Source organism: Homo sapiens, chromosome 1 (assembly GCF_000001405.40).
Source record: "Homo sapiens chromosome 1, GRCh38.p14 Primary Assembly".
Classification (NCBI taxonomy): domain Eukaryota; kingdom Metazoa; phylum Chordata; class Mammalia; order Primates; family Hominidae; genus Homo; species Homo sapiens.
Genome location: NC_000001.11, coordinates 213,913,203 through 213,939,781, shown reverse-complemented (window position 1 = coordinate 213,939,781; position 26,579 = coordinate 213,913,203). Strand labels below are relative to the sequence as shown.

The 26,579-nt window shown below is 41.4% G+C and overlaps 2 long non-coding RNA genes across 2 annotated transcripts in view; one reads left to right on the top strand and one right to left on the bottom strand.

The window, feature by feature from the left end:
- PROX1-AS1 (PROX1 antisense RNA 1) overlaps positions 1-26,579 on the top strand; it is a 166,513-nt gene that overhangs the window by 46,372 nt on the left and 93,562 nt on the right. The gene's annotated exons all lie outside the window — the stretch shown is intronic.
- On the bottom strand, positions 13,128-15,033 carry LINC00538 (long intergenic non-protein coding RNA 538). The gene has a single exon (NR_046189.1). It is a non-coding gene; the product is annotated as a long intergenic non-protein coding RNA 538 (long non-coding RNA).

The window sequence follows — 26,579 nt, the reverse complement described above, 5'->3', positions numbered from 1 at the left end:
TCACCATACAATTAAATACTATGAGGCATGTGAAGAAGCAGAAAAACATGACTAAAAATAAAAAAAAAAGCAATAGGAGCAAACCTATAGATGATCCAGATATTGGAGTTACCTCAAAGGCCTTAAAATAACTATTATACATATGTTAAATAAAATGCAGAAAAATACATACAAAAGAGATGAAAAGATGAAGGTCAACTAAGAATTTGAATCTGTGTAAAAGGATCAATCAGATATTATATAACCTAAAAATATTATAGCTGACATTAAGAATTTGTTGGACAGGTTTAGCAAGAGCTTGGCTTGCGTACGGCAGAAGACAGGATTAGTACACTCAAAGATAGGCCCAAAGAAAATAGCAAAATTAAATCACAGAAAGAAAAATAAAGTTGAAAGAATGGAGCCAAGCAAAATAAATATGTGAGACATAGTAAATGGTTCTAACATATGTGTAATTGGAATCCCGAAAGGATAGGAGAGAGACAATGAGGAAGCAACAAATTTGGAGATAACTGTTGAATACTTTCTAAAAACTGACGAAAGACATTACGATTCAAGAGGCTCAGCAAATTCCAAGCAAAGTAAATATAAAGAAAATCACACTTAGGTACATCATAGTGGAACTGCTAAAAACCAGAGATACAGTGCTCACAGACTGAGCGCTGAAAACACTATGAAATTGAAACACTGAAAACGCTGAAAAACAATAGAATTTGCTCCAGAAAATTGTTTCTCGATGAAAAGTTTTTCATGTTGCTGTTAACTCTGATTGAAATGTTTACATTCACTAACACAAAGTCAACATGTTCTTGAGGTCAAATTGGAGGAGTTAAAACAAACCAAACCAAAACAACAGCCATGGTTAAAACATCATTTTTTTTTTCCCTCACATGAGTGGTTGAATTTGTTCCTTGCGAGAAAAGAACCTAACTGAAATCTTCCTCCAAGCATTTCTACCTTACCAAGACTCTTCTTCCCTTACCTGATCATTCTACCTTTTTGGCGGAAGATGGGGCTTTTAATTCTGCCCTTTTGTTTAATTGCTATTTGCAATCCTGGAATTCCTAGATTTTCAAAGTTGCCTCTCTCTTGCCATTGCTTTTTCACCAAGAAATGGCCAGAGAAGGGAGGGAATAGCTTGTGGGGTTCTAATAACACAATCAGCTTGGTTTTTGACCCTGAAAATCAGCATCCAGCACCATTCACTTTTACCTTTGGCATCTATTTACTATAGTAGAAGCAGGCAGTCAGTAAGGAACAGTACAATGGATTTTACTTCGTGTTCCAGATTTACTCAAGTGATTTTTAAAAATAGATGCATATACAAATATCACAAAAGGTGTTGTTCTTAACTTGGAGACAGATGGATAGTGGGAACATACTAAAGCACCTAGAGACTGATGGATTTCAGTTAGTGTCCTGTCTTTCATGCACATAAAGGGATGGATTGGTTTTGCCTGGTCCACATATTTGTCAGTGCCTACTTGTTTCCAGTTATGTTCTGCTGCAGGTCTTAAGGTTATTTCACCTCTTTTCTTTTCCCTTTCCAGTTCCTGAGCCAATACTTGTCAAACCTGGTACTGTATCAAGATCCTCATGACCTATACCAAATGCAGTCTGGAAGTGTGGTTGGCTGCTCAAATCAGGAGTCAAGTGTTCATATACAAACCCCTGCAAAACTCTCCCCCACCACTCGAGTTCTCCCACAGAGTCTGGAGCACAGTCAGAACTGAGATATTTTTTTTATTTGGGGCCCAGATTTTCTTCCTGGACCTTGTTATTCCCTCTCCCAGGAGATAGACTCTGATCTGGCATCCCTGACTGTTATCTGGAGTTCAGTCCTATGTGTTACAAGATTATTAGTTCATTTATTATTTTTTTTAATGAGTTTTTATTGATTACTTACTATGTGTGTGGCACCATGTTAGGTACTGAAAATACAGTGATGTATAAAATGATGTAAGCATAGTTCTCAGAGAGTAGTTTATTATTCTGGTGGGAAAGAAAAGCATTGAATAAATAAACAACTACATAGCTCATTAAAAACTGGTAAGTACTATGAAAGACAAGTACAAAATCCTAAAAAAAAAAAAAAAAATAAAAAAAAAGCAAAATCTGAGATTGGGTCAGGGAAAGCCTCCTGAAGTCAGCCAAGTGAAGACAAGGGGAAAGAGTGCTACAGGTAGAGAAAAAGCAAGTGCAAAGTCTTGGAGGTAACACTGAGGCCTTTTGAAGACTTTAGCAGAGGCCAGTAGGACTACAGTGGCTGTTGCTAACCTGCTGAATTAGTTTCCTTTGGCTGTCATAACTAATTACCACAAATTTAGTGCCTTAAAATAACAGAACATATTTTCTCATAGATCTGGAGGTTCAGAAGTCTGACATCAGAATGTCTGGGCTGAAATCAAGGCGTTGGCAAGGCGGTGCTCCCTCCAAGGCTCTAGGAGAGAATCTTTTTCTTGCCTTTTCTGGTGTCTAGTGGCTGCCAGCATTACCTGGCTTGTGGCCACATCAGTCCAATTTTCAAGGTCAGAACCTTCAAATCTCTCTGTGTTCTATCTTCATATCACCTTTCCCTCCGTGTGTGTCACGTCTCCCTCTGCCTCTCTTTTATTAGGATGCTTGTGACTGCATTTAGAGCACATCTGAAAAATGAAGGCAGTCTTCCCATCTCAACATCCTTAACTTAATCCCATCTGCAAAACCCAATTTTGCCATAAAAGGTAACATTTACAGGTTCCTGGAAGTAGGACTTGATATAATATTTGGGGGGGCCTTTATTCAGCCCACTACAATGGCTTGCAATGCAATCCCCATGGGAATGTTTTAAGATGCAATGCTCAGGCTCCATCCCTGATCCGTTAAGTCAGAATTTCTGGGTAAGACCTGGGCATGGGAATTTTTTTTATAGCTCCCCAGGTGACTCTAATATATAGCTAGGACTGGGAACTACTGGGCTAGAGCATAATGAGGGATGGGAAGTTGTCATGGCAGGCAGGGTATCACCCCTGGAGATTTTTGCTGTCCCATTAAGAACCCTTAAGTATCAATGCTGTCTGCATGAAGCTGTCACGTAATGTACTACTTTGAACTGTTTTGTAACCTGCTTTTCTTGGAGTTCTTGACCCTTTCTCCTTCAGTTCTTGCTTCTTCTTCCCTTCGAGCTGACACTGAGGCCCTAGAATGTGTGAAATGTGAGTCCATTCTTGTTGTGAAGAATATGCTAACAAATCAATAGAGAACACACTTAGCTGACTTCACACAAGCATGTTCCAATTCTGCTCTAGAATTGGAAGTGAAGGTCTGTAGAGCATGCAGTAAGGAAAACTAGTAAATTTGCTAAAAAAAAAAAAAAAAGATAGCTTCAGTCTGAGCAAAAACCACCTAGAAGCAGGCCCAGAATTAGGAAAGTATACCTGAGACCTAGGACCTCCAGCATTCACTACTTGTCTTAGTCATAAAAGAGGATGTCTTCTTTCCCACTCTTCTCACTTATCTATGAAAATATTGAGGTTTTTTTTTTCAGTGAACATATTTGGAACAAAATGGGGATTTGGCCTATCAATATCTATCAGGATCCCTAATGGTTATCAGTAGCTTTGGTCTTAAGGACAAATTTGGTCTCACAACCATATAGACACGTCATTTGGAAGCTATGAAAATGATCATGTAATTTGCTGAGAATTTGATAATAGGAGGGAAAAGAGGCAATTTAGGGAGTTTCTATAAAGCCTCAATAGCTACTTGCTAGTAGATAGACATTTTTAAATGTCAGGTTGGGAGAAATTCCCAAGCTCAACTTACCATTGGTCCATCAGGGATTAATTTGAGGGCAGCCATCTTTGCTTTTTCAAATCACTAAATTTTCTCTGGAGAAGTAAAGATGCAATTACCTCTCTTTGTAGACTACAGTCTTTCCATGGTCAGATCTACTAACAGACCCCATCCACAAGGGAATATTGGTGACACCTGGGAAATGTGGGTTGTGTTTCTAAGTACCGAGAGTGTTGAACTGGAAGTTCTTTGCAGATAGGTTCAAGGTCTACATAGCATCATCCTTCTGACTCTAACCTGACATCATCCCTAGCACAGCACCATGTTGTTTGCTGCTCTTTGCTGCTAACCATCACCTCAACTAGGGCTGGACATCATGAAATGATTCAATGAAAGCATGATGCTTCTTTTGGGAAGTCCTTCTACCACCTTCTTCTCTTTTCCACCCATAGCTACTCTCTTCTTGTTTCCATAATTACTTGCATCAAATTTTTTCATCTCTCTTGGAAAAAATATTAGTGTATCTGCTTACTAGTGGGTACTCCCTTTGGGAACTCTTTTAATATAGGGAGGCTAGGTGGTGGTGTTTCTTTCTGGGTCTTTATGGTTGAGCATGCTCACTGCTCAAATAAAGATCTGAATGAATGCTGGCCTCCTTTCAGAACCCCTCTTAAATGCTTTCTACTGAACACATCCTTCCTTTTCCTAAATGGCACTTGCACATCTTGTGAATATCTTGTCTTTTTTTCTCTTGATTACCCCATCTAAGTGGAAATCTGTGATACACATGGCAACCACAAAAAGAATTCTCACCTGCTAAGAAGGTCTGGCAGGTGGTCCCAGTAATACCTTTCTTATCTAGGAAGTAGCTCAATTATTTTCACCTCTGACAAAGTGATAAACTTCAGAATACTCACCAAAGCAAGAGGATAGAGGGAATGGAACTGCTAGCTCCAGCACCCCAATGTGGAGTAAGTTGTCTGAACACAGCCTCGCTCTCTAGCATAAATTCCCCTCTTTCTCCAAAGAGCCACAATGGCCGAGGTGTTGGCATGCAAATACTTGCAAAGTGAAAATAGATACACTTCCACAGCTCCTCATCCCTGGCCTCCAGTGGACAGCCTGCCAACCATGCATGCTTGTTGGTTTGGCACCGAGACAAATGTTCCCTGGAGCATAGACTGAAACCACCAAACTGATATCACACGGGATGCCAGCCAAATTCTGACCTTGCTCTCTGTAGGTGAGTGGCTGTGGAATTAACCTGTGATGGTTTCCTGCTCCTGCCTGGTTGGTAGCCTGGGTTTTTCTGTTTGTTTTTTCTTTCTTTTATTTTTTAACGCCACATTTGAATCTTGTTGTTCTCCCACTCCACTGGTATCTACGAGCCACAGACCACTCTCTTGGTCTTGGCTTGTTGACAGTGGGCAGCTACTTAGTTCCAAGAAATGGGCAAATGACAAAATTCCTTCTTGCCATGGGTCTTCTCGCCCCTTGAGAGGGAAGGGCCACCAATAGACTGCTCTAAAATCACACCCAGGTGGCGGGGCCTGTGGTCTGGCATCGCGGGCATCTGTGATTGCTGTCTGTTCCTTTTGCATCCTCTTCTTCTATTTTTCCCTGCTGCTCCAGCTTCTCCCATCCCCCTTTTCCGTTTCCAGCTCTTATGTATTCAGTGCTTCCAATAGTCTAAGTTTTTCATGAATTCAGGGCTTTAATTTAGCATGTGGGGTGCTGGCTCTTCCAGCAAGCTGCTTTGGTCATTATTTCCAACTTGAGGGGATAAAGAGGCAGCAGGGTGCAGTGGGAAGAGTCGGGGCCTGAAGCCAGAAGGCCTCGGGTACTAGTCCCAGCTCCGTTTCTAACTAGCTGTGGGACTCTGGCTGGGACACATCCTGGCCACGGGCCTCAGTTTCCTCACCGATGGGATGACGAGTTTGGATGAGAAGATTTTGAATGCTTGTCTCGTTTTATCATTCTATAGAGCTCACTGGTGATGTGAAATCTGTGTTGGGTTGTGCCAGTCTCACTTTTGTTTTTCTTTTGAAAAACTTTATTGTTGAATGGATGTTAATGAGGAGATGCGAGAAGAGTCCCTAAACAAGATTTCTCAAATGCAGAATATGGGGTGGGGGGAGGAATCTATTTTTAAAAATCACTATCTAGAGGTTTATAGCCTAGAAATAAAATTCCCCTTCCTATCATAAAACGTGAGACAATATTTTCCACCAGGGTAAGAAAATGATTCAAGTGGCATTTGTTGTTTTCTGAGGATCCTATTTCTGTACTGTGGCATAAGCACATAGAATGGTTCAAGTAAAATTGTACTTTTGGAAGGAAAAGGTTAAAGTTGGCTACTGATATTCATCAGGAGATGGATATTTAATCTTTAATCTCTTGTCCTAGGCCTCTACTCTGGATCAACTCATTATCCCGAATAAACGATGTGTCATTCCCATTATTTATGTTTCACTGCAGCCAAAGTATCTGGACCTCGTTTTAGTAAGCGCCATTCATTTCGACCCATTCAGTATTAATCTCCCTGCTAACATCTTTCCTGTTCTATGTGCTGCCCCTTATTTGCTTTTATGTTTTCTGCAGAGTGTTTATAAAAGGATAATCTTTTACAAAGCAGACAGAATTTTTGTGTATAAACTGCTCTGTTTGAATGCCTCATTGATATACCATCTAAAAACTGAAGTGTTCAGCAAGATTAGCAAAGCCCTGAGCTATTGAGATGGGGGAAAACATGAGAACCAGGCTCTTCTCTATAGGAGGCAAAGGTGACGGAAGATGCCTTTGCTTTCGCAGTAGTAGCAAAAACAGAGCCACTGCCCCCACCGGGCCCCGATAGACCTAGTTGCTTGGAAATGAAAGGGGCACAAAGCAAGCTGCTTGAAGTTGCTGAGGAAAAGGTGAAGAGTGTGGTCGTATGACTTCTTTCCTAGAATTTTCTTAGAAAATGCCATGACTCTACAAACACTGAATTTACATGTAGTCCCCACTTGAGCTAACTCTTTTAAACTTTCATGAAGTATCCACACGCTGTTGCTCAGTTGTTCATTGATGTTACATTACTTGTGTCATTCTAGTCTGCCCTATGGAAAAGGCAGTACTATAGAAACCAAGCAAAGATCCAAAGAAGGAGGATGGTCTCTTTCTGCCATCTGCATTTTCTCTTTCCAAGGATCAGGAGCTCCCCCAAACAGCTCTCTTTTGCAGAGAGGAGATAGAGATCACTTCATTCTACAATGGACAAAGAAGGGTACTTTGTGGAATTTTGCATGGCCTGGGGTCCCAGATATGCCACCGATTAAAAAACTTAACAGATGGACTCTGAGAATAGGAATATGTTCAAGAAAATTTAAAAAAAAAATCAGTGGAAGGGGGTTGCAAGTCTGGCCTCTGTGGGAGCTGAGCATGGGAAGCTTCACTGAGCAAATGCTTTGTACCTTAGGTAGGGTGAGTTCAGCTGGTAGAGATGGGTGGAAGCATCTGAAGCACAAACTGTGCTTGGGTTTTTAGTTGGCAATGCTATGAGGGAAAAAAATCCCAAGATGAACAGTGCCAAAAATTATACGTGCCTTCAAAGAGTATTTTCTTCCAACAAATTGATCACTTTGATTACTCAATAATAAGGCTTGTTATTTTATGAGATGTGCCCTTTGTATACATGAGAATTTTTGCTTACATTTCCACATTTATTAGAGACAAGTTCAAAACAGACATGTGGTCGTGTAATTTTAATGGCATAAGCCCTTAAATACTAAGGGCCTGCCAAATCTCCTCTGAAGATCTAAGCTATAAAAACACTCAGAATTTATCTGTCAAGACTATCAACAAGACACACTATTTAGGATTTTATCGTCACCAAATGGCAGCATTGTTGGCCATTTATTACGGTGTTAACTAGGATGGATGCCCTTGCCTTAATCGACAATCCCCACCAAGATGAGGGCTGACAAATGTTGGAGAAAAACTGAATCCGGCTTCCTCGGGGTGCCCCGTGTGGCCTTTGGAAAGATGACAACCTGACGACAGCTAGTTCTCACCACTTGGCAGGAAAGCTTGGTACTTGGGGTGGAGAGGGACTGGGGGAAACTGGGGAATTCTTACTGCGAGCCTGAGTCAGTTGCATTGTCTAAAAGAACAAAGTGACTAGGTTTTCATGGTCAGTCTCTTGACGATGGGAAATTCATGGTGTTGACTCCTTTTACTTTGTAAAGCCTCCTCAAGAATACACAAAATAGGCTCCTGAAAGAGTGGGGGGCTGCTTCAGTTAATCTCAGTAGTGCCTGGTTTGAACTTTCTTCTATTTTTCACTCTTTTTTACTTCTATAATTTTATTTCCTCCTCCCCCTGATTTTCTCTTTAATTTGCTTTGCTTCCTCCCTCCCTCCCTCCCTTCCTCTCTTCCACTCCCTTTCTCCATCACTTCCTTTCTTTGCCTTGGCACTATTGGAGACTACAAAGAGTATAGAAGACATGATCTTTGCTTCAAAAGGTTTACTGTGTGAATTGGTAAACAAGGCCAACACAAGAAGTGTCTAATGCAAGGATGGCCAATCGAGTTCATTTTGCATTTCAGCACCCATCACTCATTAAAGGCTGCCTGGAGCTCTGTGTTCGGAGGATTCTAACTTCAGAACCAGGCTCAGAGGGCATGAATGCCCTGATCAACTAGATGTGACAGCAAAGGACACAGGGAGACTAGGGAGGGAGAGCACTTGTGGCAGAAACTTGCCACCCTGGGTCTAAATCAGAGTTTCTCAACTGTGGCATGACTGACACTTAGCATTTAGGCTGGCTCGTTCTTTGTCATTGGGGGCTGTCCTGGGCATTGCAGGAGGTTCAGCAGCATCCCTGACCTCTCTCCACTAGATGCCAGTGGCACCCCTGCAGCTGGGACCATCCAAACAGTCTTTGGACATTGCCAAATGTCCCTGAGGAGGGAAGGAGTAAAATCGCCCCTGTTCTAAAACTAGTGGTCAAATAATTAACACGGAACTAAGTATAGAGAAGTAAATGAGAAAGTCAGAGGAGCTGGAAGAATGCACAGCTTTGGGAAGGGGGTGAAGCTGTGTAGGAAGTGTAGAAGGATTTGTCATGGCAGAGAAGAAATTCTCAGTCACTGTCATTGTTGCATTGGGATGTATTTCCATGGTTCTCAGGTTGTATTTGTGACTAGACCAGAGCCCTGGGAAATAGCCTTAGACCACAGCAGGAAGGATTGAAGTTACACTATAGTTTATTAATTGTAAGATTGGTGAAACTCTAGGCTACATTTTCAGTGCAGGTAAAGTTTTCTGTGCTGGAGAGCTCAATAAACAGATTGATGGTGTTCCGTAGGGCTGATTAGAAGGCAGAGGGGCCAGAGACAGGGAAACAAGAAGAAAAGTTCCCTGTGCAGCCCTAAGAATCTTAATGGGACCTGGGAATCTAGGAGAAGAGGGAAACTGGAATCACAGCCATTATCAACTCCCTTTATGGAGGTGGGTTTATTCACTTTAAATTTCTCGACTTGATCGGAATATCAGTAAACAATGAACAAAGACTAACGTATATTCGATGAAGTTAGCTGGTGGCTTCAGGACACATTCAAAGAGTACAGATCAGATCAGCTCCAGGCTCTGTTTCCATTTATGGCCCTGGGTCATTTCATGGGATGTGTGATGTAGTGGAAAGTTCTGGGTTTGATTTTGAGCTCTGCTTCTTGCTCAGATGCTGTGAGACTTGTTTGGGCTCCCCATGGCCAAGTCAAATTGACACATGAAATTAACTCTCTGTAGAATGGGGGTAACAATAGTACTTACAGGATTCGTGATATGAACCCTCTCTTGATTCCACGAGTTAATGAAAATAGAGTGCCCCTCGTAGTATCTCATTAAATATTATATTATCGTTGCTGGTGTTTTTTTTTTTTTTAACATTTATAGATAGGGACTAAGTTTCAGGCAGAGGGAGATGAGAGGGAGAGGAGGGTCCTTGGGAGGGCAGAGAGAGGCAGGGTCTTGGCTTCATTGGTGTGCAACCCATACAGTTACACATGCTAAGCATGGGCCCCACGCTTAGGAGGGCTCCATGCTTGGTTTAATGCTCTGCTGTTGCTGTCTCCAAATACTTAATAAGTTTTGACCAAGGTATCCTGCATTTTCACTTTGCACTGGGGCCCCACAAATTACGTAGCTGGTTCTGGAGTGAGAAATGGGGGAATCTTTTAAAAAATGTCCAAACAAGTATTAGTGAGCTATCTGGCCTCTGCAACATTTCAGGTTCCCTTTCCTCTCTCACTGAATTCTGCAGGCATGAAAACTGCCACAAGACATTCATTTTTAATGACTTGTTATGGGCTTCTTAGCAATATATCTTTGGGTATTAAGGTGTGGAGTCAGAGGCTTAAAATGATTGATGTCTTTGCTCTGCACAAGGGGTCTCCCACACTTACCTAGTGTCAGATATCCACTTGGGAAATTTATGAGAGCACTTGGCAGCCTAAGTGGCCATCAAATATTAATCAAAAATATGTAATAACTAATATATACTTAAAGAATTGAAGACAATTAATATTCAAGGGAAGAATTCAGGGACTCATAAAAATAACAAATGCTAAAGAGATTCAGTCAAGGTTGGCAGGTTCGGAATTAACCCTGCTCTTATGCTTGCTTTGAGATTCTGGGCTCACTGGTCGTTCTACAGATGCTGAGATGGCAAGAAGAGGGGCTTAGTGCGTTTTCCACCAGATTTCCAGATTAGGAGATCTGGGCTTATCCTAATGAAAGAAGCAAACTTCTACTTCAGGACACTGAATTTCTGAATGTTTACCCCCTTCTTTTGTCTGTACATCTTTTCCATAGCACCAAAACACCCAATTTGCAACTAATTCTTTATGGGATTCTCTCTTGATAGCCCTGGGAAGACAGACTGTTTCTTATCTTTATATCTTCAATACCCAGGACAGTGGCTTGCACAAAGGATCTGGTTGAACCATGTGGCTTTTCCACTTTTGTAAGTCACAAATCTGCAAATATCAGCCATTTACATGGTTCAACTTAATAAATGCTAAATAAAAGACTTAAATGAGTACATACTGAACCTGGCCTTTCTAGTAGCTTTTAAATTAGAATCTAATAGCTGCCCCAGAGCAGGTTGGAAACATTTTCATAATTCTGTTTCGATTGATTGCTGGAACTCCTGGAACTTCTGTGGATCCCATAGGCAGCAGACAAACGTCCAGTTATTTTTTGGGAAAGTCTCCTTTTGCCTTTCCTTCGTCAACATAAAGGGGCGCAGACGCGGACCTGCCTGGCGACTGGCAAGGTGCGTTTAACTGTCTCCCATTGCTCCTTTTGACTGAGGTCTTCCAGAGTCCTTTTCTCCCTTGCATTCTTGGTCACTAGCCCTTTCTCGCCACCGCTCTGTGTCACGTCTGCTCACCATGGCAGCATTGGGTACACAGAGAAGTTAAGTAATATATTTAATTTTTAAAATATTTCAAATTTTTAATTGACAAATTAAAATTGTATATATTTATGACATACAATATAAGGTTCTGATATATGCATATATTGTGAAATGGCTAAATCAAGCCAATTAATGTAGGCGTTACCTCACTTTCTTGCCATTTTTGGGGAATGAGAACAGTTACAATCTCTTAAAAATTGAAGGGATTTATTTTTATTTGCAAAATAAAAGTCATTTGGCAGCAGAACTCAGGTTAGTGGGGCTACCTGTATATGGCTCCCCAGTTGATATATATGGAAAGACAGAAATGCAGAGCTTCACTAGGGACAAGGGACTGCTCTTTAATCCCTGTAGAGAAGTAGATATGGGCAGGCCGTGGCTGCTTGGAAGAGAGTAGTTTGTTCGGGTGTTGGACCACCATGGCAGTTGCTGGTCTCTTCTGTTATTGTGGAAAATCAGGAGCGGAGCCTGTCACTTGTCATCTGTTCTTCGAGTGTAACCAACTTTTCTTCCATGGGCCATTTGGTGTGACTATGAATGATGGCTCTGGCTAAATGACACCATCCTGATGGTGGGGTAAACAGAAGTGATGCTGGAACAGGCGCCTTGGATCCGGCCTGTGTTTTCAGAGAGCTACAGAAAGGGCCTGGGATGGAGAGGAATGTTCAGCACAATTGGGGCAGAGATCTTACATTGAAACTCCTTTAGTCTCCAATGTGGTGAATGAGGATTAAACCCCTGAGCCACTGAGGCACAAACCAAGCTCCTGGTAGGAGAATAAATGTATATGAGCTCACTTGCATTTGATTCCATATGGCAATTTAGAAGGGGCATGAAATCGTAATGTCGTCTAGCTCAATTTCTGCATTTTATTTTAAGTCAGGAGATACAGGCTCAGGGAGGCCAAGAGGCTTGTCTCAGGTCACATGGCTGCTACTGGCAGAGCCTAAATGAGAACCAGATTTTCTGCCTCCCAGTCCTGTGCCCCTTCTACTCTGTGGTGCATATATTCCCAGGTCTATTTTCTCCATTCTTAGTTACCATCGCTTTACTACAGCCATTTGTTTTCTGAGGATTAGAAAAACAAAAAACCAAACCTCTGCTACTATATTAAGTGTGCACACCAGTCACAAAAATTCAGAAATATTAAAATGGGAAGAAAAGGCACCGAGAAGCAGTGTAGAGGCTAGAAAAGCGGGTTCTGGATTTCGGAAAGATTGGGCTCAAATTCTTTTTCTTTTTTAAGGCCACATCATTTTTTATTTTACTTTAAGTTCTGGGATACATGTGCAGAATGTGCAGATTTGTGACATAGGGATACATGTGCCATGGTGGTTTGCTGCACCTATCAACCCGTCATCTAGGTTTTAAGCCCTGCATGCATTAGGTGTTTTCCTAATGCTCTCCCTCCCCTTGCCTCCTACCCCCTGATAGGCCCCGGGTGTGATGTTCTCCTCCTTGTGTCCATGTGTTCTCATTGTTCAACTCCTATTTCTGAGTGAGAACATGCAGTGTTTGGTTTGCTGTTCCTGTGTTAGTTTGGTAAGAATGATGGCTTCCAGCTTCACCCATGTCCCTGCAAAGGACATGAACTCATTCTTTTTTATGGATGCATAGTATTCCATGGTGTATATGTGAGGTTGGGCTCAAATTCTAATTCTACCACTTACATCTGATCCCGGGAAAGTTATTCTCTCTGTCTCCAATTCATCATCTGGGGGCTAAAAATAGTATCTATTCCATGGGTTGATGTGATTAGTAATTGAGATAACATGTGTAAAAACACTTCGCACAATCTCTGGCACATAGTCAGCACTCAAGAAATTTGGACTTATTGTTTGTGTATGTATTTGTGTGTGTGTGTGTGTGTGTGTGTGTGTATGTGTCTAGTATTTGGGATGGAGGAAGTGAGGGAGAAGTGCTTCAGAGGTGGCAGCAATGTGCTTCTGAGCGTGGCTGCGTGGCTCCCTATTTCAATCTGCCTGTGAAGATTTCCTGAGGCATATGACCCTTCCTGCCATGACCCTTGGTTTCCAGAGGCATCTGCTGGTCAGCCCCTAGGCAACACTTAAATAGGAAAACTTTTGCCTATCTGTTACTAAGACATGCTGATTTCCAGATATCTTAGTACCCTTTTTATTATCTCTCTGCCTGGGGTTTAATAACAGTTAAAAGAGACAATTCATGCAATGTGCAACAAAGTTTACTTTGTGTACATATATTTGCTCTGCACATACCTGGCATATAGTAACTGCTCAATAAATATCAGTGGCTATTATAATCTAGAGCTTGTTGGGGAGTTGTCTGAGTGAGAAAAGAACAAAAGATACTCGTTTTACAAACAATTTTTGCTTCATCTCTGGATGGCATATTCATTTCTGAAGCATCTTCACACTCAGTTGCTAAGAATAGGATATATTCTTTCCATTGTACAGATGGAGTAACCGAGAGACTGGAAAGTGACATCACCAACAGGCGGTGACCTAGGGAGTCAGGGCCAGAACCAGGTCTGGAATACAGACTTCCTGACTCCTGACCCAGGTTCCCTTCTGCCCTGTGGCCTTCACAGGACGCCTGGAGAGACCAGGGAAGTATCTGTTTCAGGGCTCTCTGAGTTGCCCTTGGAAGTTTATCATCTATCAACTGACTGTTGACCAAAAACACACTGATTCCTGAGGAGACCTTACAGGATGTCCTGTTGAGACTTTTCCTCCTCTTTTCATTAGTGCTTTGCTGGCAGATTAAAATTCAGCGGATCCCATTTGTAGGAAGTCTGATAAAATATTCTCATCTCTATTGCAAACAACTTCTCCATCTGCCACTTGGCTGAGAGGATCCGACTCAAACACTCTCAAAGAGGAGAGAGTGATACCAGGCAGAAGAAGGTACAGGAAGCAGCAAGGGGTTTGTGTCTGGACGTGTCTACCTGATCTATTGTCTGATGGAGCTGACTAGCCAGCTCTGTTAAGCTGCTGGCTTTTCTTCCCTAAAATGCCTGAATGCACCTATAATTACTTACCCTATTATTTGGTATCTTATAGATGCGGCTCTATATATGCAGTGTACAAATCTCTAAGAGAAACAACACATTTGGCATTGGGCCTAGGATATAGATGAGCTATGGGAGGAAAAGATTGGAGAATATATGTAGTGAGATCAGAAAAGCTGATTTGAGAAAGGTAAGGCAGCTTGCAAATTGCAAAGCATTGAGGGAAGTCAGTGCAATTCACCTGAGAAGACATTTATACTAGTATTTGCAAAGAACTGTATTGGGATGAATAGAAAATGAAAAAGACATGACCCTAGATTTAAATTTGTAAGGGTAACATTCCTTCCTTCTACACATGCTCATGCTCAGTAAGTACCTATTATGTGCAAGGCACTTTGCTGGATCCTGGAGGTATACTGGTGAACAAGAAAGATGTGAGTCCACCCTCTCAGAACTTACAATTTACTGGGAGAGAGCAACAAGGAAAATAAGATCACAGTTTGGGATAAATCCTAAGAAGGTAATAAAGAAATTGGTGTGCTAGAAAGTCTAAGGGTTGGTGGGGTGGGTGGGGGGTGACATGGTGCTGTTTCAGATTGGTGAAGTCGAAGTCCTCTCTTAAGAGATGCCCTCAAGCCAGATATATGAAGAGCTAGGCAAGAGCATTATAAGCAAAGGGAATTTCAAATGCAAAGATCTAGAAGAGAAATCTTGGCACGTTCTAGAAACTATATGAAGGACTACATAGCTGGAATGTAGTGGGGAGAAAGATGACAAAGCCAAAATGGGAATCTAGATGAGAAGTGATGGTAATTGGACTAAGGTGTGGCAGTAGAATGGAGACAAGTGGATGCACTCAAGGTCCTGGGTTGCAGGGAGGGAGGGTAGTAAGATCAGTGGCCCTGTCTGAGGAATTGAATATGAAAGTCAAATAATACTCAAGTTTCTGGATTAAGAAATCTATGTAGCACCTGTTTCTGGTATATGGTGGTGCCACTTATCACGCTGTTATATGGTGGTGCCGCTTATCATGATGGGAAGCCTACAGAGAGAATATCTTTGTAGGGGGTGGAATCAAGATTTCCATTTGGAGGCTCATTATTTGAGGGGAATGTCCAGTTGAACACACTAAGTACACATGGTTAGATATGTGATTGTACCCAAGCTCAAGAAGAAGTCTGATTGAAGACAGATGTGCTATGTGTGTTTAGATAATGAGGCAATTAATTCAGATGAGGGCAATATAGAAGAGTTTTAAGGGCACACTAAATTCAGCAAAGAGCATAGGCAAAGGAGTAGAGAGTGGAAAGAGGAAGAGTTTGAGAAATGCCTTTCTTTGTATGATGAAAGGAGAGGATTGATGATTAGTGATTTTAAAAGGATTGCACTTCTACATCCTTCTCCAGAGAAATTTAAGTAGGGGAAGGGACCGGTAAGTATTGCTCTATCATTAAGAAAATGAATAGTCAAACCACAGACTGAGAAAACAAAATGCAATACGTATATATGACAAAGGGCTCATAAGCATAATATATAAAGAACTCCTACAAATCAATGACAATAAGACAAAATATGAGCAAAAATCTTGAAAAGACATTTCATGAAAGAATATGTACAAATAGCAAGAAGCAGATGAAAAGTTGTTAGTCATAAGGGAAATGCAAATTTCCCTGCAGTCAGCTACCATTTCACATACATGATAACGGCTAAAATAAAAAGGACTCTTGGCTGTGCATGGTGGCTCATGTCTGTAATCCCAGCACTTTGGGAGGACGAGGCAGGTGGATCACCTGAGGTCAGAAGTTCAAGACCAGCCTGGCCAACATGGTGAAACCTCGTCTCTACTAAAAATACAAAAATTAGCTGGGCATGGTGGCAGGCGCCTGTAATCCCAGCTACTTGGGAGGCTGAGGCAGGAGAATCACTTGAACCCAGGAGGTGGAGGTTGCAGTGAGCAGAAATCATGCCACTGCACTCTAGTCTGGGCAACAAGAGTAAGACTCCATCAAAAAAAAAAAAAAAAAAAAGACTCTCAATACAAAATGTGAGGATGTGGAGCAACAAGAACTTTGGTATATTGTTTGTTGGTAGGTAGTGTAAAATGGCACCTATTATAGGTACCATTTAGAAAAACTGTTCAGTAGTTTAAAAATTTGATATTCCCCTTCCTGTGTCCATGTGATCTCATTGTTCAATTCCCACCTATGAGTGAGAATATGCGGTGTTTGGTTTTTTGTTCTTGCGATAGTTTACTAAGAATGATGGTTTCCAATTTCATCCATGTCCCTATAAAGGACATGAACTCATCATTTTTTATGGCTGCATAGTATTCCATGGTGTATATGTGCCACATTTTCTTAATCCAGTCTATCATTGTTGGACATTTGGGTTGGTTCCAAGTCTTTGCTATTGTGAATAATGCCGCAATAAACATACGTGTGCATGTGTCTTTATAGCGGCATGATTTATAGTCATTTGGGTATATACCCAGTAATGGGATGGCTGGGTCAAATGGTATTTCTAGTTCTAGATCCCTGAGGAATCGCCACACTGACTTGTGGTGGGGTGGGGGGAGGGGGGAGGGATAGCATTGGGAGATATACCTAATGCTAGATGACGAGTTAGTGGGTGCAGTGCACCAGCATGGCACATGTATACATATGTAACTAACCTGCACAATGTGCACATGTACCCTAAAACTTAAAGTATAATAAAAAAAATAATTAAAAAAAAATTTGAACATATGTCTACTCTATGACCCAGCAATAGCAAATTTTAGGTATTTACCCAAGAAAAATGAAAACCTCTACACAATATGACTTGTACACAAATGCTTATAACAGTCTTAGTCATAATAGCCCCAAATTTAAAACAACCCAAATTTCCACTAACAAGGAAGTGGATCAACAAAACGATGTTCTATCTGTACAATGCAGCACTATTCAGTAATAGAAAGGAAGAAACCACTGACAAATGCAACATCGTCTGAAAAACACCACTTGAGTGAAAGAAGACAGGTGTAAAAGAAGAATATGTGCTATAGGATTCCATTTACATGAATTTCTAGAACACGCAAAAATAATCTATAGTAATAAAAATCAGAAAGCAGTTACCTGGCAAGGGTCATGAGGAATATTTCTGGGGTGATAAAAATGGTCTACATCTTGTTTAAGTGGTGGTTATATGGGCATATACAATTGCTAAAATGCACTGAAGTGAACATTCAAGATCTTATGGTCTATGCATTTTATTATATGTCAGTTATAACTTAATTTTTAAAAGAATCTATATAGTGTAACTCCAGATTCTGCATGCTTAAAGTACTTCACACTCTTAGGGGAGAAAAACAGGAGGTGACTACTTGCTGAAAATTTGAGATAAAATGGATGTATTTAAATTAGCAGGGTCTAATGGCTTGCTTTCTGAGAAACGCACACAGCTCTTAGATTGATCTGGACTCATGTGGACAGGAGTTGATACGTTGTTGAATTAGAGCCCTGAAATCATTTTGGTAGGTACAGTTAAATACAACTTGCATCTATGTAGCACCTGCTGTATGCTAGACCCTGATGTTCTGTGTTTTCTAAAGCAGCCTGTTGGCTCCCCAAGGGCGACGACTTTTGGCTTCTGCTTATCTGGCCTCCCCCACAGTATGGCTTTGCTCTTCCCCTAATTTCTCAGAGGACGATGTCCAGCACAGAGTGGGTACCAAGTAAATATTTATTCAATGAATGAATGAAGAAACGAATTAATAAAGGTCAAGTGTTTGACTTAATCTGCATGACTATAAGGGCTAAGTGTCTAATTTTACTTTTTAGAAAATAAATGTTACATGATTTGACATTGAAAAAAATCCAAAATTTTAAAAAGCCTTCAACAGTTTCTCTTCACTCTGTACCTAAGAGTAGAATAAGTAAACACAGGAAATAAAATTAATGGCCTCATTTTCTGTCACTTTTATACTTTTAATCTTAAAGGCCAAACTGGTGACAACTGGTCTAGCGGTTGGACTTTGGATTATTAAAAAATATTTTGCAAGAAATAAGCTTGGCTTATGTGAACCAACAATGAGATAACCTCCTTTGGTAAGAATGACAGCAACAGTTGATATTTCTGGGGGAAAACACTAACCAAAACAAGAACCAAAAAAATCCTTTCCATTCTCGAGGCAAGGGGATATGAAAGAGATTAAATGTAGCTGCAGATGCCAACAGACAAAGCCTCTGGAAGATGAGTTTAGTGAGAATCTTTTGTCAAAATTTACTAACTGCCAATAATTTTTACATGACATATAAAGTGGCAAAGTAAAGTATTTAATGATTTTGATTTTGTATCTAGAATATGTTTATAGAAATAAAACAGAACTAACCTGGGTCAAATGCTTCATTCTGTGAATGCTTAACACTGTGAATTAGCTTAGTGATAAAAGAAAATAAGTTTCAATAATTACTGTGTTAAAAAATAGAATGTAATAATTTATGAGTCAACAACCTTAACTTAAAAAGAAAATCTATTCTAGTTGTAATACATTTGATTTGAGATGGAAGAGAAAACTTGTTAAATATTTGAAAATTTATATAAAATTAAATTTTATGTATTGATTCTAAAATGTAAAGCCCAGGTAATAGGTATTTAGTGAGTGTTTTTCTAAAATTTTAAAATTAGTTTTTTGAAGACAATGAAAGAAAATAGAGGATTTGTTTCTTTGTCTTTTCATGGAATTTATGATTTCTTGCAAGAATATATAGCCTACTATAAAATAGAATACAAATATTGTAGTCTTCAGAGTAAAAATAGGACAGAGGGCAAAGACAATGTTTGTTACAGAGTGAGGACATGGTAAGAGAGAGAACTGCAAAAGAGGGAGAATTTGCAGATACACAGGCTTTAGCGTCTTTTACTGTTTAACTGACATTGAACCACAAATTTGGTTTTGAGTTTTCTGATGCCCAAATCGAAAAGGGAAACAGAATTTATTGACAAGTTTACAACAAAATTAAATATACTGACCTTAAGCAAAACGTATCCTAATCAAAAAAACAAACAAACAAAATTCTTAGGGTGAAAAGGTGTATGTGCGTGCGTTTGTGTATGTACGTGTATACATGTATGTTGATTTCAGTGGACTGAATATCAACATGGACAGTATTCTCAACAATATCCCTTCAATAAATACATTAGATAATTTTATTCTGTAATTTTGTCTTAGCATCAACTGTGTATGAGGCCAAGACAAAAAGAGCATACACATATTGGTCTTTGATGACTTTACTTAAGAATAAAACCTAGACATCTAGTGGAAAGATAAATTGCATTTCAAACCACCTGCCAGGTTCCCCCAAACATCCTTTCCAAATAAGTTGAGCTGTGAAGAATTTGGAGTTGACTTCATTGACATGGGTCTTCAGTGATGGCGTTGTGTCATGGTGATCAGTTAGCTTTATATATCAACTTAGGAGAGTGTCGCAGGCTAGTGAAAATTGAGAAGCCAAGTGAAGTGAGGATATGGCAAATGGGGAAGGTTAGGAAATGGCTGAGGACCACAGGTATGATGGAGCCCTCCTGCCCTGAGAGTCCATATATGTAGATGAGTCCATATACGTAGATGACACAGTGTCATTGGGCTTGGCATCACTTTTACTAATTGGGTATCATGAGGGAAATCTCTTAACTTCTCTCTGTTGGTTTCTTCACCTTTGCAATGATACAGAGGTGCTTGTTCTCCATTCCTGATGTTTCTTACCATGTTGAAGGTGTGGCATTTGGGACCCTCTTCATCTCTTTACTCGCTTCCTCCAGAGGAGGTAAAGTGACTTGCCTGATTGACACAGTTAGGAAAAATAAATGGAACATGTTTGACCCAACCCTCTCTTTTCCTTCTGGGGAAACAGCCGCCTGCAAGAAGCAGGAGTTCTCTTCCTATCTACAGTGAGCAGACTCCCTCCCCCAGTTCAACATGGCCAGTACCTAAAAGAGCAATTCTCCTAATTCTGCGGCTCTCATACTAAACAGTATTCTTCTGCTTGGTCTTTATTGTAATAAAGATTTTATTTCACCTTCCATCTGCCACTCCTTTGCTTTATTTATCAATTGCAGGCAAAGAGGGATGCCACTTATTAGCCCCCTCCAGAGACCCCCAACAGGATCAACAATTTAGTCACACCCATCTTCCACTAAGTGAGAGGTTTAAAGAAGATGGTGGTATCGTGGTGGTATGGCATGGAGAGTTATGCTGTTGGTAATTATGATGTTGACCATTTCCCCCCAGGTCCCGTTAGTCTGGAGGTAAAATTGAGGAATACCAACCACACTATCCATAATAAGACAGTAATCTCTGACACCACAAGAGCATCCTTGGAGTCTCAGTGCTTCCCGCCATATCCTTATGTCCTACAGATGCCTGCCAAGTGCTCTTCTTGAGCAGCTGTCCCTCTGGGCTATCTATAGTGTTTTGCTCCTCTGGGGTGACCCTGTTCGTCTTGGCTGCAGCTGTGGCTACTGTCCTCCTAACTGCTCTCAGGATCCTTTCCAACACAAGCATCATGCCAAAGTAGAGAATGTACCTTCACTCCTGTTGCTGGGTCACCACAACACTTCCTTCAGCTCTTAGTTCATGTTGGCCTTAAGGTGAAAAATATGGGGTCTCTACAAGTGGGCACCAAATTAACAAATATGTAATATTTCTAATACATATTAGGAAGAGCCACATGTTAAAGGTCCTGGTGGTCACATGTGCGGGGCCCAGAGGATGGTGTGGTAGGCGCTTCTGGTTCTTGCTGTTGGAGAACACGGCTGACATGAACACCATTTCTGGAAGCATGACTTCCCAGCATGGCTTCATATGCCTTCTCCATCTGTTCCAGAAGCATTATTCTGGGCACCTTGACAGGAGGAATCCAAATGAAAAGCAAGAACAAAAAAGTACATTTAAAAATTTTTCTCCATATACCTACAGATCATGGATATGAATTAACACTTGCCTTGTGATCTTTCAGGCCTGGTACATTGGGTGGAGGAGGGTTTGAGGGGGACAGAAAAAAATTACACAAGACAAAACCCAAAAACTATTAAAATAACAAAAGAACCATCTTGTTTCTTTTCTATCCTCATTTGCTCTTTATTTAAAAGGGAATTTTAAAAAACCCTGGTATTTAAACAAACCTGTTGACTGGCAGTTTGCTTTTATGTGACTTGGACCTCCTTTGAGCAAATACTAAATAGTATCCTTCTGCTTGGTCTTTATTGTAATAAAGATTTTATTTTGGCTTCCGTCTGCCACTGTTTTACTTTATTTGTCAATTGCAGGCAAAGAGGGATGCCACTTATTGGCCCTCTCCAGAGACACCACAGGATTGACAATTTAGTCACACCCATCTTCCACTAAGTGGGAGGTTTAAAGAACATGATGGCATCGTGGTGGTATGGTGTGGAGAGTTATGCTGTTGATAATTATGATGTTGGCCATTTCTCTCTAAAACATAGAGTGAGACTGTGTGGTTTAACAGTGATATAAAAACTGTTAGAGGGGCCTTCATCAGTTTCTTCATTATGGGGTATATCAGTCCATTTTCACGCTGGTATAAAGAACTGCCCAAGACTGAGACTGGGTAATTTGTAAAGGAGAGGGGTTTAAATTGACTCATAGTTCAGGATGGCTTGGGAGGCCTCAGGAAACTTACAGTCATGGCTGAAGACAAAGTGGAAGCAAGGCACCTTCTTCACAAGGTGGCAGGAAGGAGAAGTGCCAAGAAAAGGGACAAGAACCCCTTATAAAACCATTAGATCTTGTGAGAATTCCCTATCGTGAGAGCAGCATGGGGGAAACCACCCCCATCATTCAATAACCTCCACCTGGTCTCTCCCTTGACCTGTGGGGATTACGGGGATTGCAATTCAAGATGAGATTTGGGTGGGGACTACAAAGACTAATCATATCATGGGGTGATTATGTCTTGCTTTCAATCACCAAATACCACTTAAAACATTTCCCCAAAGCTATGAAGACAGAAAGCACGTATAGATTCCTTCACTTACAGGTAGGCTGAGCCAACTGAAAACTGTAAAATTGATGAGATCCTAAAGTGAAAAGAAAAGCAACTGCTAGATAAATCAAAGTGTCTGTTAAGTCAAGGACAAGGCAGGGAAAGACTCAGTGTTATCTGTTAGAGTCTGATATATGGGACAGTGAGGAGGAGGAGGAGGAGGAGGAACAGAAGGAGGAGGAGTAGGACTACTTTCCTTCTCCCAGGGAAAACTTCCCCTGCCCTGCTCCTTTCATGGGGCTCAAGAACATCATGGTGCTCACTTGATAATGCAGGTGACTCTCTTTCCTAGAGAGTCGGAGTTCTGCCTGGGATCAAAGGTGGTTAGACCTGCCCCAAACATCATAAGTGTATTAAAATTTCCATTGGTATTCACAATAAGGAAGGGGTCATGATGGTAATATTCTATTTGGATCTAGCCTCACGCAGGCCAATTTTAGGCAAATGTGTGAGGCTTATGTATATGCTGTGATGCCATATTTTATTTCTAAATTCTTTCTTGTCTTTTTAACAGAACATTCTTAATTCTGTCTTTCACAAATTCAAAAACTTACAACAACATAAAGTGCTACCCCTCAGAGGGATATGGATATTTCAGCAGGAACTGAGGCCTTCAGGAGTCTTTGGGACAGTGGGTGGAGGAGGGTTTGAGGCAGGAGAGAAAGGTCCACATAGACATTGCCAAAGTCCCACCACACAGATACAATTTCCTACCTTTCCAGGGGGCAGGAATCTAAGATGATGAGAAAAGTGGCTGAATTTCAAGTTTTCAAATTTTCTTAGTAATGTTTGATAGAGTATGAGTTTGGCTGCATGTAACAGAAAACCCAAAATAACAGAGACATTGTAGGGGATATACAAGCCAGTGCCTGTGATGGTGGGAGAGCAGTGCCTGCTGTCTGTCCGTGCTGCTGTGGAGCACTGTCCAGCTCCAGCAGCAGCACTGTTGCCTGGTGGCTCTTCAGCATGATTGGCTTGTGATCTTGGTAGCCTACCTAACCTGGTCCCTGGTTCCTGTCCTTTTTTTTTTTTTTTTTTTTTTGAGACGGAGTCTCACTCTGTTGCCCAGGCTGGAGTGGAGTGCAGTGGAGTGATCTTGGCTCACTGCAAGCTCTGCCTCCCGGGTTCACATCATTCTCCTGCCTCAGCCTCCCGAGTAGCTGGGACCACAGGTGCTTGTCACCATGCCCAGCTAATTTTTTGAATTTTTTTTAGTAGAGATGGGGTTTCACCATGTTAGCCTGGATGGTCTCTATCTCCTGACCTTGTGATTCGCCCTCCTCGGCCTCCCAAAGTGCTGGGATTACAGGCGTGAGCCACCGCACCCATCCAGTTCCTGTTCTTTTTGTGGTCTAGTTCTTTGGCCTTTCTGGTGATTCTGTGAATTTCCTTTCAATAAAAGTCTTCTCTTTTTAGCTATTCACAGATCATCATCAGCCAGAGGTGACTTCTGTTGCTTGCAGCTCAGAATCCTAGATGTTTCCGGTGGCACTGAAGAGCCTCTGCTGAAGCTCTATACCATTTGCCATTTACAAAGGGAAATGAAATAATAACGCTGACCATTTGTGGAGCACATTCTGTGTAAGTCGCTTTACCTAGATTGTCTCTTAATCTTCAGAAACCCTTGAGTAGACACTGTGATTATCATCATCTACATTTGATACATGGAAAGCTGTATTTTCAACCCAGAAATTTTGTCTCTAGAGCTTCTTCTCATAACAACCATGACAGAAGCCCTGTCCAAATCTCTAATTTCCTTCAAGGCTGTGTCAACTGTCAAACTCCCAGCAAAAAATGCTATTCTTTACCAAGTTTGCCTTGAGTACCCATCAATCTTTTCCTTATTTTTTATTTTACCTCTGGCTCACACTTTCAAGCCCTCATTTTCATGTCACCCTGAAGTTATTTCAGATCTCTTTATATCTTCCTCTTCTAACTCTAGTGTGAGCTCCTTGAGTGTTCTAATCCTGGCAGTACCACTCAGGAGAAAGTGGTCACAGGCTAGATACTTTGAGAATGTAAATGTGACCTCACCACATTGCTGTGGGTACAGGTGGTCTTTAAAAATGCTGTGTTTAATACCTGGTTCACAAGGACACTGGCCAATCAGAATAGTCGATGGCCGTACATACCTGGGATGCCTGTCCTGTGCAAATGAACTGAATATTCACTTTGGTTGTGAAAAAGTAATTGATGTGAAAAGTCTTTGTAAGTTGTACAGCATAACAAACATTCTAGGCATTATTACCTTCTCTTTCTGTCTCAGCTGCCACAAAGCCTAGCATATTCTTATGTACTTGGTAGGTACTTAATAAACCTCTGAATTAATGGACGAGTGAGTGGATAATCAGCATGGTCCATTTCTCCGACCTCCCAAGGTGAATGTCAAAACCAGTAATTCCCTATTTTGGTTGAATGATGAGACCCTGGGTCATCTCTTTGATTATTTGGTGGGAAAAGGTTCATGAACTTATCAAACAATTCTCCCACCGTACTTAACTTTGATTCACATATTTGACTGAACACTAAGTGATGTATCATACTACACCTTCAGAGAGATGGAGACCAGGGCCTTGCAATCAAACCAAGGAGGTTGCTGTGGCCAGTCCGGTCTCAGCTTTCCTGGGCTGCCTGGCTCAGGTGGGGTGATAGGTCTCCTCCTCTGTGCAGCCTTAGGAGTGGCCTGGCTACTTAAGGGCTCTGTGTGGCAAATCTCTACGGAAAGCAACAGCTCCCCAGAGCACCCAGTGAATCAGCCTCAACTGCCCCAGAGCCTGCCTATCTGCCTGGTACTCAGAGCCTGTTGCTGAACCCTCTTTTCATCCTTCTGTTCCGTCTTCCATTGCTTCCACACCGACAGCTGCAGAAACACATGGAGGTTGCTTGGCAGCTGCTAGACACAGATGTTGGGCTCTGTAATGCACTTTTTTCCCCCTCTGCCACTGCTTCTGAGTGTTTCTCTGGCTGCCTGGATGTCTTCGTTACTGCCTGTTGGGGGAGTGTGCTCCGAGGTGCTAGTGGGGTGTGAAACCTCGGGGGATTGACTGGTGCTGCTGAGCAGGCAGGATGGCTAGGTACTTAAGATCAACTTTGCCTTTTCCACACTCGACACCAGGTTTTAACTGTTCTGCCTGCCTGAGAATCATTTCAAGCTGTCTAGGAGGAAAATAATGTTGGGGTGTCTTTTTCTCTCCACCTCTGAAGCTCCTGCCTTCCTCCAGGCCCTGGTTAGTTTCCTGGTTGCCTTCTTGCAGTAATCTGTTTTAACTGGCCTCTTTGCCTCTGATTTACCCCTTTTCTTCTTTCAATAGTGCTCCCAGACTGATTTCCTGTAATCAAATCTTACCACGTCTCCTCTTTTCTTGGAATCCTCCTAGTTTGCAAGATAAAATTTGTACTTCTTAGTGTGAATTAAAGCACCTTCATGACTCAGCTCTGCTCACCACCCCAGCCTCATCTTTCATTCAGCCACGTCTGTTTTGACTGGAATATAACCGTTTCTTAACTGGGTCTTGCCTTTGTGTTCATTTGGTCAGTCCAAGAATTCTTTTCTTCCTCTCCTTGTCTATTCACCTGGTTCGCTCTGTCTGAGCTACAGCGGTTTCTAGGTATTCTCTTCTACCTTGACCTTATCCTCAATGGGCCAAACTGTAGAAGTTGCCTACAAAGCCATCTCCCTATGGAGACAATTATTTGAGCAAATCTGCTGGTTAAACAACCTACTGTGTTCCAGGCGCTGAGATGCAGACATGAATAAGAGACAGTGCCAGTCCTCAAGGAGTTAATAGATCATTGGACAGATGGATCACAAAGCACACAAATACATTTGAAAATGAAACGAGTTCTATGATAAAGTTAAGTACAAGATGTTGCAGGAATTAGAGTCCCTCCCGTGTGCTCCTGCAGCCTCCTGAACTTCTTTCTGTTAGCTCCTTAATACATTAGCTGTGTGTTTCAGTTTGTCTTTCCAACAGTCTCTGAGTTTCTTGAAGCAGGTATCGTATCTTTTGTTTTCTTCAGGAGCTTGGCACAGTGGCTCATGCCTGTAATCCCAGTGACTCAGGAGACTGAGGCAGGATGATCACTTGAGGCCAGGAGATCGAGGCTACACTGAACCAGGATCACACCACTGCACTCCAGCCTGGGTGACAGAGTGAGATCCTCTCTCTAAAAACAAAAGCAAACAAAAAATGAATTTGTATCCTTCATGCCCACCCAGTGCCCAGCACAGAGTAGGAGGTCAAAAAACACTTGTCGCAATGGCACTTGAATGATTGTGTCCACGTGGAGATGTCCATGCAAGAGGCTCTCCA